The sequence below is a fragment of the Homo sapiens genome, chromosome 2 (assembly GCF_000001405.40).
Source record: "Homo sapiens chromosome 2, GRCh38.p14 Primary Assembly".
NCBI classification, from domain to species: Eukaryota; Metazoa; Chordata; class Mammalia; order Primates; family Hominidae; genus Homo; species Homo sapiens.
The window spans coordinates 160,125,090-160,145,791 of NC_000002.12; the positions used below are offsets into that span (position 1 = coordinate 160,125,090).

General features: G+C 38.4%; 1 protein-coding gene across 7 annotated transcripts in view, besides 1 other annotated feature; it reads right to left on the minus strand.

Moving 5' to 3' along the window:
* Positions 1–20,702, minus strand: part of ITGB6 (integrin subunit beta 6) — a 100,602-nt gene that overhangs the window by 25,419 nt on the left and 54,481 nt on the right. For 6 of the 7 annotated variants that reach the window (NM_001282353.2, NM_001282354.2, NM_001282390.2 and 3 more), the window contains 4 exons: positions 16,893–16,982; positions 12,976–13,110; positions 12,345–12,762; positions 1,290–1,512 (listed from right to left, as the gene is read on the minus strand). In NM_001282353.2, the coding sequence (NP_001269282.1) occupies positions 1,290–1,512; positions 12,345–12,762; positions 12,976–13,110; positions 16,893–16,982 (866 nt within the window). The remainder of the gene's footprint in view (positions 1–1,289; positions 1,513–12,344; positions 12,763–12,975; positions 13,111–16,892; positions 16,983–20,702) is intronic. The other variant, NM_001282355.2, reaches the window with a different exon arrangement.
* Positions 762–1,360: an enhancer, noted in NCBI's record as "NANOG-H3K4me1 hESC enhancer chr2:160982362-160982960 (GRCh37/hg19 assembly coordinates)". NCBI's record gives its function as "activates a minimal SCP1, AML or CMV promoter by ChIP-STARR-seq in naive H9 embryonic stem cells {active_cell/tissue: H9 hESC(naive)}" and the evidence as "EXISTENCE:reporter gene assay evidence [ECO:0000049][PMID:30033119]".

Below are 20,702 nucleotides of genomic sequence, written 5' to 3' on the forward strand. Positions count from 1 at the left end.
CAGCCTAGACAGCATTGCAATGACTTTAAAAGATGTCTATCTTTCCCACTAGACTCCAGCACCTGTGAAGGCAGAGGCTGTAGCTGTTTCAGTCATCATTGCTTTGCCCATGGCATAACATGATTCTTGGCATATAGTAGGCACTTAATACCTCATTGATAAATGAATACATGCATGAATAAATGGAAAAATGGACTCATCTCAAAACTAACATAAATCCCAAGGAGGTCACTACCTGATTCCCCAAATTCAAATGGCTTTGATTGTTAATTTCCTATCTTGAAATTCAGATTTAAGATTGAATCATATTTATAGAGAAGATAAAACAGAAAAGTAATAGAAGAAACACCTTGAAGGGACATTTTCCATTAGATCCTATTCAAATCATCCTAATCATGTCCTCATGCTTCTCCTGGCATGCGTCTTGTCTTAGTTTGCCAGTGACAGTGGCAGAGAAGTTTTGACACCTGAATGGTGAGTAACCACTGAGTGAAAAATTGCTTTTCTCACTCTGTTTATGTCAGAAATGCAAATGTCACCATTTTGGGCATCAGAGTTCATGAAAATCTGAAATGCTGAAGCATATTTGCTGCATAATACATTATCCACTGCAATATCATAAGAGCCACTTTGGAGGCTCGCTTCACTTGACCTACAAATGTGGCCCCAATTTCATTAAGAAATTGTGAGGTTTCATTGTTGTTATTGTGCATATGATATAAAACACAATACACAATAGCTGTGTATAATGGCAACCAAAGAAAGGCGCCAAAGAGCATGGGTGGTAAAGAAGCAGGAGAGAATTGAAAGCTAAGATCGTCTTTCTGCCTTTTTGCCTCTGTGAGCCTATAGATAGGAATGAATCAGTAAGGTCAGGCTATAAACTTCTAGATAAGAAAGAAGCTTGTCTGTTTCCCCTGAAAAGCTACTGACTGCATGTGGGTGTCATCCGTCTACCTCCAGGGCATTCCTTCTGTGTGGCTGGTATTGTAATGGAGAGGCGATCTGATGTTATCAGTGTGGGACATCAGCTCTACTTCCCCACACTAGTCTCTAGCAGAAACGTGACATTGTGATTCTGGATAATCAGGACTGAGAAAGAGGTAAGCGAGAGATTGATGTTCCAGGCTGAAGATCACAGAGGCCCTGTGGGTTTGTGTGTGTTTTGATGGATGTTTGGAGACCAAACCAGCAAATACAATCTGAGGTCTGAGTTTACAAAATGCCACTGTAAGTTTGATCACTATAAACCTATCCACATAAGGAATGGAGAAAAGCAGAGACATTACCGTTTAGAGTTACAGGGGTCACCACAGGTAGGACATCGTTCACAGGTTGGTCCTGAGGCTCCAGGGTTTGTGCAAACACACTTGCCACAAACACAGTCCCCGCGCCCGCTGCAGAGCACTCCATCTTCAGAGACGCAGGAGTCCGTGCTGGTGGTGCAGTTGCAGTACTCGCCAGTCCAGCCGCTCCTGCACACACATTCACCACAGTCACAGTCGCCGTTACCTGTAACACAAAATGCTCTATGCTTCTCACAGCCCCAAAACACTTGCAGATTTGAGGGGGTGAGGGGCATCTTTTCTCTTTGTCTTTAAGCACCGTCATCAAAAGACAAGAAAAAAATGAGAAAAAAAGTATGTGTGTGAGGGGTGCAGTATGAGTGTAGATATATTGTATCAAATGTGTCTTGCTAATTGTGCATACTTAGATCTGGTCTCCTAACTGAAGATCCACTTGCTTACTTTATGTTTGTAAACCATAAATAAAAATATAAGCCTCTCAGCCAACTGAATGGACCCCTCCTCTCAGCCAAGGGCATTCTAAACTAAACCTGAAACACTAGTCCAGGCCGTGATGAGAGTGGGTGGTCCGACATGCCTTATTATATACCCTTCTCCCTTTGGAATTCAGGCACAGCTGACCAACATTAACAAGAAGACAGAAACCTTAAGACTGACAAAGCAGACTCTTTGTAGCAATAAGATACCAACATGATAGATAGCAGGTCCTGAAAGTAAAGTATTTTACCCCAAAATATATTTCTTTGATATATTTTGAAATGGCTTGACCAAGCTGTCTCTTGTGGGGAATATCTACATTCTGCAGAGAATCCCCTTTTCTTTCCAGATCTTCTTCCTGATCCAAGAGAGCATTAACTAAGAATCTGGAACCTTTTTTAAGTCTTCTAGGAAACATTTGCAATCTGTTCTCTCTGAAGCCTGCTACCTGGACGCTTCATCTGCATAATAAGAACCCTGTTCTCCACAACCCCTTATCTTAACACAGGTACTCCCTTCTATTGATTCCAGGTCTTTAGATAGACTCTTTCAACCAATCACCAACCACTATGACCTGAAAGTCCTGCCCATCCCCTTTGAGTTGTCACACCTTTCTGAACAGAACCAATGTGCATCTTACATGTATTGATTGATGTCTTATGTCTCCCTAAAATGCATAAAACCAAGCTGTGGCCTGACTGCCTTAGGCACAGGTTCTCAGGATCTCCTGGGGCTGTGTCACGGGCCATGGTCACTCATATTTGGCTCAGAATAAATCTCTTCGAATATTTTACAGAGTTTGGCTCTTTTCATCCACATATTATATGAAATAGAATTTGTAATCAGACCAAATGAGATAATCCAGAAAGCACGTAAAAGATATTTGATGTGAATGTGTGTCTCTGTGCATATTTATTTAGTTATTTTTATATTTTGCTTTTAGTTAAGATGCCATATGATAATGATGCAAGACAGACCTGGATTAAAGCCCACCCCTCTATATCACTCAAGCTGTGTGATCATGAGAGCCTCATCTATAAAACAGAGGGAATAAAGTCTACTTCCAATGCTTGTGACTGGATGACATAATGTATATATCTCCTAATTTTACATTCACCAGTTAGATGTCCCATAAGCATACACTGAGTGCTCAAAAAATTCACTACTTAACACACTTTAATTGAGCATATACTATGTGCCAAAGATTGTATTAGGTATGAGGATATAAAATTAAATAAGACAAGGTCATTGAACTTATAATTTAGTATAGGAGGCAGGCTAATGAATACTACTACTAATAAATATACATAGGGGAATAGTTTCCAAATTAAACTGGAGATTTGAGGGTTTCCAAAGGAAGTAATGCTTGAGCTAAATTTGAAAGATACGGGTAGACAATACAAAAAAAAAAAAAGGTTCTATGCATTTCAGGAATACATGTGGAATCATGTGACCTGCTTAATACCCATAGAACTTTCCTATGGATACAGCCAAAGTTGCATATGGAGTGTGGCAGGTGGGGAAATGGAAAGGATAACAAAAAGTCAGAAATCAGACCATGAAAAGCCTTATTGGCTGAAGGAAGAGCTTCTATCCTGAAAGTTTTGTCTAGACATTTTTTAGCATCAGTAGACAGGGTCAAGCTACAGACAGAAAAATCAGGAGTAGAGGCAAGAAGATATGAGACCATGAACCAAGGCGGTGCCCATGGGAGCAGCAAGGAAAGAATATATATTCGGGAATGGAATGCTCAGGGTGTGGGTGCGATTGGTGCCAGGCGGAGGGTTGAGGGAAGAGACAGAGGGATGGAATTCTCCCCCAGGTGACTAGACTGAGCAGCCAGATGGATGATGTGGCTTTTCACTGAACTGGAATGGAAGCTAGCTCATGGTCACTGCCGTGTCACCAATGCCTGGCACAGAGTAGGACCTGATTATTGAAACAGAGGAGGAGAAGCAGCTTTGGGTGGGGAAGATGATGAGTTCACTTTTGGCCCTGAGGAGCTCAAGGGGCCTGTGGGACATCCTAGTAGGAGGCTGAATATATATATGGGCCTGAAGTTTGGGGTTTGGGATCCATTAGGGAAAGGTGGTACTTGAAGCTGTCATGGATCAGGTCATCTAGGGCAAGCAGGTAGAGTGAGAAAAACTCTGGAGAGCTTCAGGACTTAAAATGTGATCAGAAAAAAGGATCCTTATAGAAGAGACTGAGAGGTAGGAAGGGAACAGAAGTGATATTGCAGAGGCCTGAGGCAGACACTGTTAAAGAGGGAGGCACCTGGACACTTTTGCTGTAGACAAGTAGCCCATCTAATCCTAAAGAGCCCCTTTGATATGGCCACTTAATGACGTATGAAATACTTCAAAAATGATTTTAAAAGTGTTTAAAATAATGGGCTTCTGTGTCATTTCCATAATATTATTCTGGGTGCCTGCCATGCGCAAGACACTAACATAGGTGTTGGATGTTTCAAACAAATAACATTTATTTGCAAACTCTCGTAACTGATACTTTTCTTCAAAAAAAAAAAAAAAAAAGAAATGTGCATTAGGCATTTTGCCTCCCAAGTTTTGCTCTTCCAGCAAAATTTAGGATTACCTAAGACAGTATATAACAGTGTTTAGAACGGTACCTGGCCCATAAATAAGCACTATACAAGTGTTAGTTACTGCCATTATTTCTGAAAACTATCCAGTAGGAAGAATTTGTAAACAAAATTATCTATCAATATTAAAATTCCTATACTTTTACTGAAAACAAAGTAGATGTAGAAAAAAATCACAAGTGAAACAGGATTCTACTTGCAGGAGACACTGCCAAGTTCACTGTAGAAGGAAGAATTCTGGACTTTCTCTTGTAAACTTTGGTCTAGTAAGTGGCTTACTTTTCTATCTTGATGACTGGGCTCTAAGGAAATTGGAGTAGGAGAGTCCTGGGCTTAATTCTTTGGTCAAAAATCACCAAACAAAGATGATAGACACAAAGATTTTGAAATTGGATTCTGATTTCTGTAGGTATGTGTGTGCATATATGTATATATATATGTGTGTGTGTATATATATATGTATATGTGTGTATACACACACACACAGTCATGTGTCTTTTAACAATGGGAATATGTACCAAGAAATGCATCATTAGGTGATTTCATCATTGTGTAAACACCATAGAGTATATGTACACAAACTTAGATGGTAAACCTGCTGCACACCTAGGTTATATGGTATAGCCTATTGCTCCTAGGCTACAAACCTATACAATATGTTACTGTGCTGGGTACTGGAGGCAATTGTAACACCACGGTGAGCATTTGTGTATCTAGACATAGAAAAGGTACAGTAAAAATACAGTATTATAAAATTATGGGACAACTGTTGTATATGTACTGTGTTGTTGACAAAATCGTCATTATGTGGTGGATGATTATATGTATATACATATATATTCTCTCTCTATATATATTCTCTATATACTCTATATATACACATACACACACGTATGTATAGATGCTTCTGGACTTATGATAGGATTATGTCGGGATAAACTCATTGTAAAATGTAAAATAATGGATTTATCCAGACATAACATTACTGTAAGTCGAGCAACACACTAAATTTATATGAGTTTCACACCATCTTAAAGTGTGTGTTTGTGTGCATTATTTGTCTAATGAAAGATGAGTTGAAATTTACCTGGATTCATGATATTAAGATATATTTCAACTGTGTTTCATAACCTATACAATTTATAATTGACATAATTAATTCAAAGCAAAGAATAATTAAATGATTTGGGCCAAAGCCATTAATTTCATTTTTACATGTAAATGATCTTCTAAACTACAATATCTTTTTGTTTCTTCCTCAACAAAAGGGGAAACTTATGATAGAAAGAAATTCCATATTACAGTTGATTCTGGAAAATTAATATGATTTACAAATATTATTAAATGAAAGATGCATTTCCAAATGCTTTGAGAATGCTCAAGTATATTATTGCATGTAGGAAGTACTTGGCAGAAATTTAGAAAATCCTTCCTGGAGCAGTAGAAAAGGACCATCATGGCAAAAACACGGAGCTCCTCTCAGAATTTAGAAGCCCTCCTCTCTCCTGGCCTTCCAGAGCCACTGACCTGGTTTCCAAAGTTGCTAATTGATATCCTCAAACAACCAGTTATCTAGAGTACTGGTTCATACAATAACAACAACAACAACAACAAAACTGTCATATTGGTTTCATGGAGGGACAAGATGATAACCAAAGATCAAGAAAAAATTACCATGCTATTTCAGAGGGATAGATCTTTCTGGAATGCCATTGACAATAACTGTTAAGTGCATAATGGCAGGAAGTGTTTCTCTAATATCATTTGCCTGATAGTTTCCATCTCTTAGAATCAAAATACAGGAGACTAATGGAATTTGGGCAAGGAAAAAATCAATGGAGCTCTGTATCTTTGAGTGCTTACAGATGGATGAAAGAAGCTGTATGAAAAAGAACATTGCGATAATAGCTCTTCAGAAAAGTGGCACATTGCTTAGTATATTAGTTACAAACTGGAGATCCACACAAGTTGTGAGCTGTAGCATGTTTGATCCTCTGTTGCAAATAAAACAACAGCAGCAGCAGAGTGTCTATTCCAATGCCAGGCACAATTTTTGTCCCTGCACTAAGCACAATGCCAGGCACATAGTAGGTACTCCATGACCATTTGTTAACCATTTGTTATAAATGCATTTACTTTCATTATACCATTTGAAAGAAAAGTTACTAATTATAGAGCAACATCCTTTGTGATGTTACTAAAAACCAAAATAGCTTTTGAGAAACAGTAATGGTTGAAGGAAATCGGCATTGGTGAAGTTTTCTGAGTCTAGCTAAATAAATCGTATTTTCTAAATAGAATTTCTGTAGCAATCACTGTACCTGATTCAAAAGAGACGCACTGTTGTCAGAACTTCCTAGCTACAATCCACAGATCAAGTCTTTTTTAGTTTATTTCTGTTCCTCATGCATGGTAAAAAATAAAGCGAAAGACCATCAAGCAAAGCTCTGTTGCTAAACAGAGTTCAGCATTTTATACTGCCTTAGATCTCTTTGATCCAAGATTTAAAGGGTGAAATATAGGTCGTGTTAGTATCTCTATTATATTTTGTTAGATTACACTTAGGGCTTTTTGAAAGGTAATTTCAAGTGTTTTGAACATGTATTTTATTACAAGATTCCTATTAGACATGCAATATGGGATTCTGCCCAATATATCCTCTCTGTGATGTGGTGACGGCCTTTGGCTGGCTTCTTGTCACCTTCAGATTGTGCCCCATCTGCATCATGTGAAAAGAGGACTGATGTGGGTTTGGAAACACACCTATTAAACCAGGAAATAAACCTTTAAATGAAAAGGGAGAGAAATGTGTCTCGATCAGAACAGACCATAAATTTTTCACTCTCTGGAGGGAAAAAAGGCATATATTCTCAGAAGAACTTATTGGCTGCAACAGCAGCAGCAAAGAAATGAAAGGTAGGTACACTTCTAAGGGTATCAAATGGTTTTCAGAAAGCTTGGATTTCTTTGATGCTTCTTTCTTTCAGGTCTTTTATTTCCCCCAAAATTAGTCTTTTTTATATGTTCCTAACGCTGTCTTTTAAAAACATAACTTGCTTAGTTTTCTATAAAGATAATGGCTTTCTGATTTGAATAGCTGTCTGCTTACATAGTGTGAAGAACAGAGATATTGAAGCTTAAATTCAGCATTCAGTTAATATTTCAATCTATAAGACAAATTTATACTGTTTAAGAGTATATGAACATATTTATAATTCTTTTCTGAATAGATTACACTTATATATGTGTGCATATATATATAAAAGAATGATTTTACAATAGTCATATACAATATATCGTTAAACTATAGCGATTTTACATCTATGTAGGATATTAAAACATACATATTTCTACTTTAAATTTTTCTCAAATTTCTCAAGATATTCCGAGTAATTTTCCATCTTTGTCTTTCCTGTAGGCTTTTTCACACATGCAGTTACTCATCTTTCTTATGCTCAGTGCCTAACCTAGTATGTGTCATATAGTAGGTGTTTAATAAATATTTGTGGAATGAGTGAAGGCCCTGAAAGCCCATTTAATATATTTTTGTGCTCCTTATCCTTGGTAGCATGCTTATTTAGCAGTCTACCTAGTTTTTACTTTTCCAAAGTCATATACATTTAAAAGGTCAGTCAGTGGCAAATTGGATAAAGAGTCAAGACCCATCAGTGTGCTGTATTCAGGAAACCCATCTCACTGCAAAGACACACATAGGCTCAAAATAAAGGGATGGAGGAAGATCTACAAAGCAAACGGAAAACAAAAAAAGGCAGGGGTTGCAATCCTAGTCTCTGATAAAACAGACTTTAAACAAACAAAGATCAAAAGAGAAAAGGCCATTACATAATGGTAAAGGGATCAATTCAACAAGAAGAGCTAACTATCCTAAATTTATACGCACCCAGTACAGGAGCACCTAGATTCATAAAGAAAGTCCTTAGAGACCTACAAAGAGACTTAGACTCCCACACAATAATAATGGGAGACTTTAACACCCCACTGTCAACATTAGACAGATGAGACAGAAAGTTAGCAAGGATATCCAGGAATTGAACTCAGCTCTGCACCAAGCAGACCTAATAGACATCTACAGAACTCTCCACCCCAAATCAACAGAATATACATTCTTTTCAGCACCACACCACACCTATTCCAAAATTGACCACATAGTGGGAAGTAAAGCACTCCTCAGCAAATGTAAAAGAACAGAAATTATAACAAACTGTCTCTCAGACCACAGTGCAATCAAACTAGAACTCAGGATTACGAAACTCACTCGAAACTGCTCAACTACATGGAACCTGAACAACCTGCAACTGAATGACTACTGCGTACATAACAAAATGAAGGCAGACATAAAGGTGTTCTTTGAAACCAACGAGAACAAAGACACAACATACCAGAATCTCTGGGACACATTCAAAGCAGTGTGTAGAGGGAAATTTATCACACTAAATGACCACAAGAGAAAGCAGGAAAGATCTAAAACTGACACCCTAACATCACAATTAAAAGAACTAGAGAAGCATGAGCAAACACACTCAAAACTAGCAGAAGGCAAGAAATAACTAAGATCAGAGCAGAACTGAAGGAAACAGAGACACATAAAACCCTTCAAAAAATCAATGAATCCAGGAGCTGGTTTTTTGAAAAGATCAACAAAATTGATAGACCACTAGCAAGACTAATAAAGAAGAAAAGAGAGAAGAATCAAATAGATGCAACAAAAAATGATAAACGGGATATCACCACTGATCCCACAGAAATAAAAACTACCATCAGAGAATACTATAAACACCTCTATGCAAATAAACTAGAAAATCTGGAAGAAATGGATAAATTCCTCGACACATACACTCTCCCAAGACTAAACCAGGAAGAAGTTGAATCTCTGAATAGACCAATAACAGGCTCTGAAATTGAGGCAATAATTAATAGCTTACCAACCAAAAACAGTCCAGGACCAGATGGATTCACAGCCAAATTCTACCAGAGGTACAAGGAGGAGCTGGTACCATTCCTTCTGAAACTATTCCAATCAATAGAAAAAGGGGGAATCCTCCCTAACTCATTTTATGAGGCCAGCATCATCCTGATACCAAAGCCTGGCAGAGACACAACTAAAAAAGAGAATTTTAGACGAATATCCCTGATGAACATCGGTGCAAAAATCCTCAATAAAATACTGGCAAACCGAATCCAGCTGCACATCAAAAAGCTTACCCACCATGATCAAGTGGGCTTCATCCCTGGGATGCAAGGCTGATTCAACATACACAAATCAATAAACGTAATCTAGCATATAAACAGAACCAATGGCAAAACCACATCATTATCTCAATAGATGCAGAAAAGGCCTTTGACAAAATTCAACAGCACTTCCTGCTAAAAACTCTCAATAAATTAGGTATTGATGGGACGTATCTCAAAATAATAAGAGCTATTTATGACAAACCCACAGCCAATATCATACTGAATGGGCAAAAACTGGAAGCATTCCCTTTGAAAACTGGCACAAGACAGGGATGCCCTCTCTCACCACTCCTGTTCAACATAGTGTTGGAAGTTCTGGTCAGGGCAATCAGGCAGGAGAAAGAAATAAAGGGTATTCAATTAGGAAAAGAGGAAGTCAAATTGTCCCTGTTTGCAGATGACATGATTGTATATCTAGAAAACCCCACTGTCTCAGCCCAAAATCTCCTTAAGCTGATAAGCAACTTCAGCAAAGTCTCAGGATACAAAATCAATGTACAAAAATCACAAGCATTCTTATACACTAATAACAGACAAACAGAGCCAAATCGCGAGTGAACTCCCATTCACAATTGCTTCAAAGAGAATAAAATGCCTAGGAATCCAACTTACAAGGGATGTGAAGGACCTCTTCAAGGAGAACTACAAACCACTGCTCAATGAAATAAAAGAGGATACAAACAAATGGAAGAACATTCCATGCTCATGGGTAGGAAGAATCAATATCATGAAAATGGCCATACTGCCCAAGGTAATTTATAGATTCAATGCCATCCCCATCAAGCTACCAATGACTTTCTTCACAGAACTGGAAAAAACTACTTTATAGTTCATATGGAACCAAAAAAGAGCCCACATTGCCAAGTCAATCCTAAGCCAAAAGAACAAAGCTGGAGGCATCATGCTACCTGACTTCAAACTATACTACAAGGCTACAGTAACCAAAACAGCATGGTACTGGTACCAAAACAGAGATATAGACCAATGGAACAGAACAGAGCCCTCAGAAATAATGCCACATATCTACAACTATCTGATCTTTGACAAACCTGAGAAAAACAAGCAATGGGGAAAGGATTCCCTATTTAATAAATGGTGATGGGAAAACTGGCTAGCCATATGTAGAAAGCTGAAACTGGATCCCTTCCTTACACCTTATACTAAAATTAATTCAAGATGGATTAAAGATTTAAATATTAGACCTAAAACAATAAAAACTCTAGAAGAAAACCTAGGCAATGCCATTCGGGACATAGGCATGAGCAAGGACTTCATGTCTAAAACACCAAAAGCAATGGCAACAAAAGCCAAAACTGACAAATGGGATCTAATTAAACTAAAGAGCTTCTGCACAGTAAAAGAAACTACCATCAGAGTGAACAGGCAACCTACAGAATGGGAGAAAATTTTTGCAATCTACTCATCTGACAAAGGGCTAACATCCAGAATCTACAAAGAACTCAAACAAATTTACAAGAAAAAAACAACCCCATCAACAAGTGGACAAAGGATATGAACAGACACTTCTCAAAAGAAGACATTTATGCAGCCAAAAGACACATGAAAAAATGCTCATCATCACTGGCCATCAGAGAAATGCAAATCAAAACCACAATGAGATACCATCTTACACCAGTTAGAATGGCGATCATTAAAAAGTCAGGAAACAACAGGTGCTGGAGAGGATGTGGAGAAATAGGAACACTTTTACACTGTTGGTGGGACTGTAAACTAGTTCAACCATTGTGGAAGTCAGTGTGGCAATTCCTCAGGGATCTAGAACTAGAAATACCATTTGACCCAGCCATCCCATTACTGGGTATATACCCAAAGGATTAGAAACCATGCTGCTATAAAGACACATGCACACGTATGTTTATTGCGGCACTATTCACAATAGCAAAGACTTGGAACCAACCCAAATGTCCAACAATGATAGATTGGATTAAGAAAATGTGGCACATATACGCCATGGAATACTATGCAGCCTTAAAAAATGATGAGTTCATGTCATTTGTAGGGACATGGATGAAGCTGGAAACCATCATTCTCAGCAAACTATCACAAGGACAAAAAACCAAACACCACATGTTCTCACTCATAGGTTGGAATTGAACAATGAGAACACATGGACACAGGAAGGGGAACATCACACACTGGGGCCTGTTGTGGGGTGGGGGGAAGGGGGAGGGATAGCATTAGGAGATATACCTAATGTTAAATGATGAGTTAATGGGTGCAGCACACCAACATGGCACATGTATATATACGTAACAAACCTGCACATTGTGCACATGTACCCTAAAACTTAAAGTATAAATAAAAAAAAAAAGAAAAAAAAAAAGAAAAGGTCAGTCAGACACAGCTGCTTGGTCCAGAAAAACCTGGAAGGTAATGGAGTTCATATAACAGGCACTTTTGTAGAGTCTGGGTGTCAACCAGAGAGAAGGCACTTGTATCTTTCATCTACGCTTAGGGAAACAATAATAGACATAAGTTCAGTTGGCAGAAATCTCACCCCAAGTGAATGTTAGAGCCAGAAAACCTACAAGAGAAGATTCAGTTACCCTAGGTCTAAGGCTGATCAGCAAATATTTATTGAGCACCTACTGTGCCCAGGAAACTGGAAGGTGCAGAGGATGCCAAGCCCCTTGCTGATACTTGAGCAGCCACAGGGTAAGATGGATTTCAACATAGCCTACCTCCGCAGAGCAGCCCTTTGTGTCTCACGCAGGAGAAATTGTCACACTGGCAATAAGGCCCATAAATGTTTCCATAGGGAGACAAGTGGCAGATACACTGCCCACAGTAGCAGTCACCCCTTCCGCTGCAGGAGGGATGATCTGGGGCCTCCTTGCAGGAATCTGTGCTCAGCATGTCCTCGCCACACTCACAGCGAGGCCCCATGTGGCCAGGGTGGCAGGCACACACCCCACACTGGAAAGAGCCGTTCCCGTGGTGACATTTGGAGCTGTTCACTTCCACTTCTTTCTGACAGTCGCAGTTGCATTCTGGGCTGACAAGTAATTCCAGGGCATCCCCCAGCCCCACAGGCTTTATGATAATGTGCCTGCTTCTTCTCTCGCAGTGTGGGATATTCACAGTCACGCTGAAGGAAGCCTGGAAAAGAAAATACTAATTATCTCCCTCCATCCACCAAAATGCACGAGGTGAAACAAGGCTTCACGGAAATCAGCTTTGCCAAAAGCATTTACTAGAAAATCTTTGAAAATTGCTTTTAAAATTCTTGAAAGAAATCCAGCTTCAGTGAGCTCAGCTAATTTCTGACCCATCCAGGTATTTATTCAGACTATCTACTGGCCAGCTACTTACTGTGTCTCCCACTTTCATGTGAGAGCATTTCTTTTGGTGTTGGAAGAGGGTACCGTTGTTACAGATGGCTGTAAATGACAAGTTGAGTCCTTCAGTGTCTCCTAATACTTCCAGTTCCACCTCAGACCGCAGTTCCTTTAGTTACAACATAAAGAGTTCAGTGAAGTCACAACCCCAAAAATATAGCCAGAAGAAGAAACCGTGAATCATGTTCATTGAACTACAAATAAATAAAACTAAATTGGGTGTCTAAAGAAATTCAGTATATCATCAATCAAAAGCAAGAAAGTGAGCAATCATATATACATTTTATATATTATCAAATCTAAGGTGCCAACATTATAAGATACACCATTATCTTACGACAATTAAACTATGACAAAATACCTCAAGATGGTTCTGCACACCATATGAATCAGTCCTATCCATCTATCATTGCTTTGAAAATCATTTTATCCATTCTGAAGGATTTGGCAAATTCTCCTGCCCTGAGTTGCATAGATTGGCATATAAAAGGCAATTCTTTTGCTTATATCTCAGTAACAAAATTAAACAACAGCTTCCTTTATGTGTATCATGATTTCTTAGCTCCCATAAATCAGCTGTTTGTTGCTTTGCAAAGAATCCACAATTGAAGTCATTCCTCCACCAATGAATATTTGCTTCATTGATAACAAATTTACACCCTGCTGCTCTGTTTTGGTACATTTCTGCATACATAATAAACTTTTCATCTCAATATCAAATCACAGTACACATTTTAAAATATATTTTAAAACAGCAATTAAACTTAATATTTATGTAGCAACAATGCCTCTAATGAATTGAAGTGAGTACAATCACAATAGTCCATGAAAACTACATCATGACTGCTGCCTGGCACCACAATGGTGATAGTAACTCACCACCAACAGTAAGATGGAGCTCAATTTTAGAGATGTTAAAATGTAGGGGGAAAGTGTGCCTTAAAATCAATATTGGAATGTATTTAGTGTAGAGTTAGGTCTGGGGAATACTATAAGAATGCTTTCTTTCCTCAAGAAGTTTATCATTTTGCTTTCTCTATTCCTTGTTCACTTATAAAATGAAAGTCTGTATTGTAGGTGAACCAAACCAAATTATGAAAAATAGAAAAACAGAATAAAACCAATTTAAAAATATTATGAATTAATTTACACTTCAGTTAATCCAAAAGTTTTAAGTCCACATATCCATTTTCTTGTTGGCATTTAAAAAGCATATTCGGCTTCAAATTTCCCTTAAGTGTAATTTTTTAAAAATTTGTTTTATTTTTAATTTGTGTGGGTATATAGTAGGTGTATATATTTATGGAGAAATGAGATGCTTTGATACTTTATGTGTAAGTTTGCCAAATGTATAGTAAAATGACCCTGCCTTCCTCCAAAATCTGTTTATACTGAAATAATAAGATTAAAATAGAAGCAATGTTGGAGATAGAGTCAGGAGCTAAATAAAAATTAAGGGATATGAGCTAGAAGACTGTGACAGCAATTATGAGGACTAGTGGATGACATGATCTGACCTAAATAAAGGAAATTTCAGCATTGCTATAATTTAACAGCATATTGCAAATTTGACCAGGAATATTTTAGTGTGAATTTCCCAAGGAAAGGACATAAACACTTATTTGTATTTTTCATAGTTTCATTCATTCATTTTTTGAGCATCTCTTATGAACCAGGAAAAACAAAAGAAACCAAGTCAATTCCCTCCTGGAATTTAAACACAAACAGAGGAACTTATCCTTGGGATTGCTGATATTTCGGTAGCTTTTATTATACGATCGGGGAAGAAAGAAAATTAGTGAATGATGATCAGATAAGTACACATCGGTATTTAAGGTTTTTTTAAAATATCAATACGGCACTGTAAAATACTGAGCTGAAGTTTGTAGCCACAAAGTTATAAACACAAATTGTCTACCTCTGCCCTACTAGAGGTCAGTCAGAAGCATTTTATGTTTTCTCTCAATATATTCTCTTTCCTTCTCTCTCTTTTTATAGACTAGAAAGAAATTCAGTCTATGTGTTCCCATATTTTAAATTCTTTTTAGCATACATTTAAAAATAACAGTAGAAAAATAATTTGAACTAGTGCCAGGATCTATTACAGACTTTGCCCTGTGAATCATAAAGCTCCAATAATAACTCCAGTGCAAGATTGTTTCATTTAAGAATAATAGACACTTCTTAGTATTTCTGAGATAGTAAAACAAGGACAGAAGATTTAATTCAAATGTTTAATGCCTTGATTTCAACTACCCTGTAAGTTGCGTGAAGTATTTGGGATCTTAAAGTGAGCCATAACCTCTGGCAGAGCAAGCAGAGGCATGGCGGCTGCTCTTACTGGAGGGGGAAATATTTTTGACAATTTAGTGTTTTCTAATCTGCTTAGTTTCTCCGATGATGTTAGTGGCCAACACTGTTGAGAGTATTGGATTCGAAAAAATGGCGTGCATTCTGATACAGTGAAGGATTGCTGTGTGATTTTATTTGATTCTACACATTAAAACTTTAATTACTGCATGAGAGGGAGGAAGGTTTTTATAGCGTTTTGTTGATGAGCATTCCTGACTGGAAGAATTTCAAGCATGAGCTAATGTGGTGATGAATTTGATGTGATCTAAGAAAACTGAAATTTCTGAGGCTATCAGTAAAACAAACAAAACAAAACAAAACCATCATCTTATAATTTTAATGGACACATCTGTATTTTATTTTCTGAAGAAATGAAGTACTTGAGAGGGAATATCTTGCTTTTCTTCCTTCAGGGGAGTTTCAAAATTGGTGGGGCAACGTCAAAATTATTGGGGAATTTTTTTTCTTTCCAAAATATGTAGCTCTCATTTCCCCTGAAGTCCTTCAAAGACGTCTGTGAGAGGATAGGCCTATTTTTAAAAACTTTCCGTGTTGATTCTGATACGTCGTTTTAGTTAAGGAATGCTGGTTCAGTACATGCTAAATGTTGGCGTATATTACAGATGGGCCTTTTTTTTTGTAATTTTAAAACATCAAAAATCAGGAGAATTGTTATTCACTTGTTCTTACATAGTTGCTGTTTACAGTAAATAGTAGAGCTTTACTCCTTACTAAAAAATTTACTTTTTTTCATTCCTATCCTAATTTAGGGCTTCTTCTTTCTCTCTCTGTGTGTGTATTTCTTTGTAAGTAAAGGCAAAAAAAAAGGGGGGGTGATATTTAGGAACCAAAATTAAAAATAATTGACAATGGGCCATCCATTGTTGACTAATGGAGTTATGAAATGGAGACAAAGAATGAGAACATAACAACACCGTAGGTATATATTCTAATTTTAAGGGAGGAATTCTGTCCTCAGGTACTAATTCCCAAAGTCAAAAGCAAAAATTTACACACCTACTCATAAACCAGTGGAAAATGTCCCTAGTTCTCCAAAGTATAGAAATTAAAAAGTGGCATTCCTTGTGTACTGGTGTTTTGGTGGATAGCCAACACTTGTATTTTTGCTTGAGTTATGACCTAGTATCGTCAAGCCTGTAGAGTTAGCTCTCTACATAACTCTGTCACTCACTGGCAATTTAAACTTCATTTTTTTTCAGATGGAGGAGAGCTTAATTGTATGACTCGTGGAGCCTTTAAAATTTTGCGGCAACAATGTTACTGTTGCTTATTATTATAAAAACAACCTCGACTTTATGATCAGTTTTATGATTTTTCTATCTTCAGCTCCACCTTCCAGGAAGAAGATCAGCAAGCAAAATGAACAAAATTTATATTTTGGCTGCATTCATGCAGAGACTTTTTTTGGATAAGCACTCTCTCTACCAACAAGTAACTAACATTTAACTGCCTAAATCACATCTTAGTTTTTGAATACCAAAGAAATGCAAAAAAGAAGCCAGCTGTAAAATATCCTACTTCATAAGCTGAGATGATCAGCTGGAGAATGTTTCCGGAGTCCTTCTGAAGTAGACCTACTGTAGCTCCAGGAATAAGTTTTGCGTAATTCTGTAAACAGAAAAAGAGTAAGTCAATCTTTGTTTCCTCATGGTAATTGAGAAAAGTGTGGGTTTGAGCCTGCTGGCTATGATTGCCTCTATTTAACTGGCCAGGGAAAACAGGTTCGTGATAACAAACCTGCTTTTCTCCTGAAACTGTAGCCTTTACTTTGTGCTGCTTCCTGTGCTCAAGTGGAAAATGGACTGGACAGAGTCAGCACTGGGGAAATCTAGGGTCTGTGGTTGCCATGGTCTAAGGCTGTGATTTTTGTCTCCAGAAGAGTCAAGTCTCAAATAATAGTAGCATTTATATAACATCTTCCATTCGTGAAGCATCCTTTGTCCAAAATGTTCTCAGCACACACCCAGGAACTTCTCTTTTTGTAACGTTGCAGAAACCAAGGTTTGGTGCACATGGGCAATGAGGGGAATCAGGTCGCTCTGTAAGTCATTCAGTTTAGAGGCCTTAAGGAGTAACCGCTTGGTGGAGAAAGAGAGTGAATTATTGGATGCTTGCACTGAGCTCTCCCTTCCTCCTGGTAATGAGCTCCCTTTCAGGATGCTAGCACCGTGCTGGGGTTGGTTGGAATTGCTCCCACCACATCACCGTGGAGTGAGTCAGAAGCTAGTGCAGAAAGCATTCTTTACCCACAGTGTTTTTTCCTGAGGCATCATTCCCACCTGAGAACTAGCAATATGAGTTCATCATCACTCCAGGCATCGGGCATGGCCAGGGAATGAGGCACGGCAAAGAAGGGAATTTTCCAGACAGCTGGACATTTCCCCACCCTGGAGTTTTATGTTTTAAATTTTGTTGTTTTCAAATGAAAAGTTTTACAAGGTGTGTGATAGACATACCTGTCTTCTTAAACAAAGATTCCCCAAAATACTTTGGCCTTTGCTTGAAGGAATAGAGTTATACTTATCAATATTAACTACAGTTTTGCCAGGAATGCTGGCTCACATCTGTAATCCCAGCACTTTGAGAGGTCAAGGCAGGCAGATCATTTGGGCTCAGGAGTTCGAGACCAGCCTGGCCAACATGGTGAAACCCCGTCTCTACTAAAAATACAAAAAGTAGCTTGGTGTGGTGGCACGCCTGTAGTCCCAGCTACTTGGAGGCTGAGGCAGGAGGATCGCTTAAGCCCAGGAGGTTGAGGCTGCAGTGAGCTGATAGGTTGCCACTGCACTCCAGCCTGGGTGACAAAGTGAGACCCTGTCTAAAAAAAAATCATAATAATAAATTAAATAAACTATGGTTCTGTAATCATCAAAGGCTTTTGAAATCTCCGGAGAGGTCACACCCATACCAAGTGTGCTCTGACTGTTACATTGTTGCTTCTTATATGTGTTTTTAAATGATTTCTACCTTCTCCTTGGTGAGCTCTAAGGTATTACTCACCTACTAATTTACTCATTTATCTATTTACTATTGCATTTGACATCTACTAAGTAGGTTTTCTATACTGTACTATGTCAACAACCACTCTTTCTTTCAGCTGTGGTCTTCTGAGTTGCTGTGTGCTACGAAATTAGATGGCTGAATTTATTAAAATTGTATGTAGAAAAGAGTAAGTAAGCTTTGAGTAAAGGATTTAAGGCATCTCATATAGTTCAAACATAATGATATTCTATCTTATTTAAAGAAGATTTAAATGTTTTAGAAAATGCACAAAACTATATTAGAATGGATAATTATCATTAATTATAATAGTGATACTAAGAAAATAAATTAGGACAAAGAGAACCAAGGAGAGGAACAAATGAAGCTAGGGCAATGTTAGAACACAGAATGCATGCAGGGTGCCCCGGGCACTTGCTAGAAGTGGGTCCCTGGGTGAGTCCAAGCTTTCTACACCTGTGTGGAAAAATGGGTTTTGGTTTTGATTTGAGGGTTTCTAATGTTCCTCTTATTTCAGTGGTCACGATTGTGTTGAAGTTTGAAGTCAGTAGAAATCTAATTATTTTTGTTGTTGTTGTTAATTTTTATTTTTAGAGACAAGGTCTCACTCTGTTGCCCAGGCTGGAGTGCAGTGGCCTGATCATAGCACACTGTAGCTCAAACTCCTAGGCTGAAGCAACACTCTCACCTCAGCCTTCCAAAGTGTTGGGATTACAGGTGTGAGCCACTGAGCCTGGTAAAATCTGAACTCTTAACAGTGTGAGATGCTGCTCTGCCTTGACACTGTTTTATTATTGAGGGGGCTGTGGGCAGTAATCCAGGTAACAGTCCTTACCTTACTTTGTGTCCCACATTGCTGCCTGATGATGGAGGACCCCCTTTTGTTTCCCTGAGTCAGGGGAAACTTGTAAAATACAAGGAAGGCACTGGTTTACGGACTTACCTTTTCAAATAAACATATGTCACAAAGGGCTGTGAAGCATGTGACATGTGGTTAACAGCGAATACCTACACAGGAACTTGAATTCCACTTAAGTGAAGCTGGAACGTGTGTAAATTTGACTGATCCCAGAAGAGACGGCAGAGGGAACCTTTCGCGCTTGACAAAGAAAAGTTTTGGTCTCTTAGGAAAAGGATTTCAAGGCTCTTAGCTTTTTATGAAACTGCTATCCTTGAAAAACATCCTGAGAACCCCAGGACTGAGGTGTCACAGATATATTCTGCAAGCACTAGTTCAAGTGGCCTCCAAATTTGTGGTTAATTCTTGGCTAACAAAGCCAAACCCATCCACTTCCTAAAACATAACTATAATCCTGCATGTGGTATGACATTTGGCATTTGGCTATTAGGACAAGTGGTTACCATTAATCGCTGACTTCCACTAGAGTGACGATATAAAAGCGTTGGCAGCCAGTAGCAGTAACCAGTGGTTAACACTGACAATTGCACAGAGGAAAACTATTAATTAATTTCTGGATGCTGAGTTCCCCCAAAAACATTTCAAATAATTAACTAAAAATATGGACAATTTGGCTTCCTGCTCTAACACTGTCAAAATTTATACTTTAAATATTGTAGTATTATGATTACTGTAAATATCATGTGTCAAATGCCTTCCTTTCATTAAAGTCTTAACGCACTATTATAAATCGTTGTAATTAAACATGTTTAATGTTAGAAAAAGGATGATTTTGCATGCCTGGATGTGATGAATTATAGCATTTGTGACTCTAAAAGATGGTGCTTGGATATTAGAAATGGTGAACACTGCAAACATGATGTTGCATGAGCTGATTAGAAATGCAAGCTCTTATGCTTGGGCTTGAATTCTCTATTATCTATCTGCAGATTAACCGAATTATGGATTTTCCCTGTCCTCCCTACCATACCACCCAGGAGTTCCTGAGGTTGCTTTTCTCACTCATTCTTTCTGGTTACCTTAGTTTTCTTAACTTCCTTCTTCAAGTCCTATTTATCTCTTCACTCGGCCCCATCTCCAAAAAGATTATGTATATATCCAACAGTCTGCATTTGTTCCCTGGAATTCTCCTCTTTGTGGAAGAGAAAGCATAAGAAACCGACAGAGAGCTATTTAGCAGGCAGATGTGATACAGAGGAAACACCTGCATTCCCACCTGCACATCCTGGGCTCCTCTCAGAGAGGGACCCCCAGTTTGGTGCCTCTCAGTGTCTGGCTGCCAGAACCAGCTGTCAGGTGTGCACTCCTGCTTGGCTCAGGGCAGAGGAACATGCGGTCACACAACTGCTGCCTGGTTAACTGTGGACAGGCTGTTGGTTGGCCTTCTCTTCAAAAAGACTCCTGTTGAG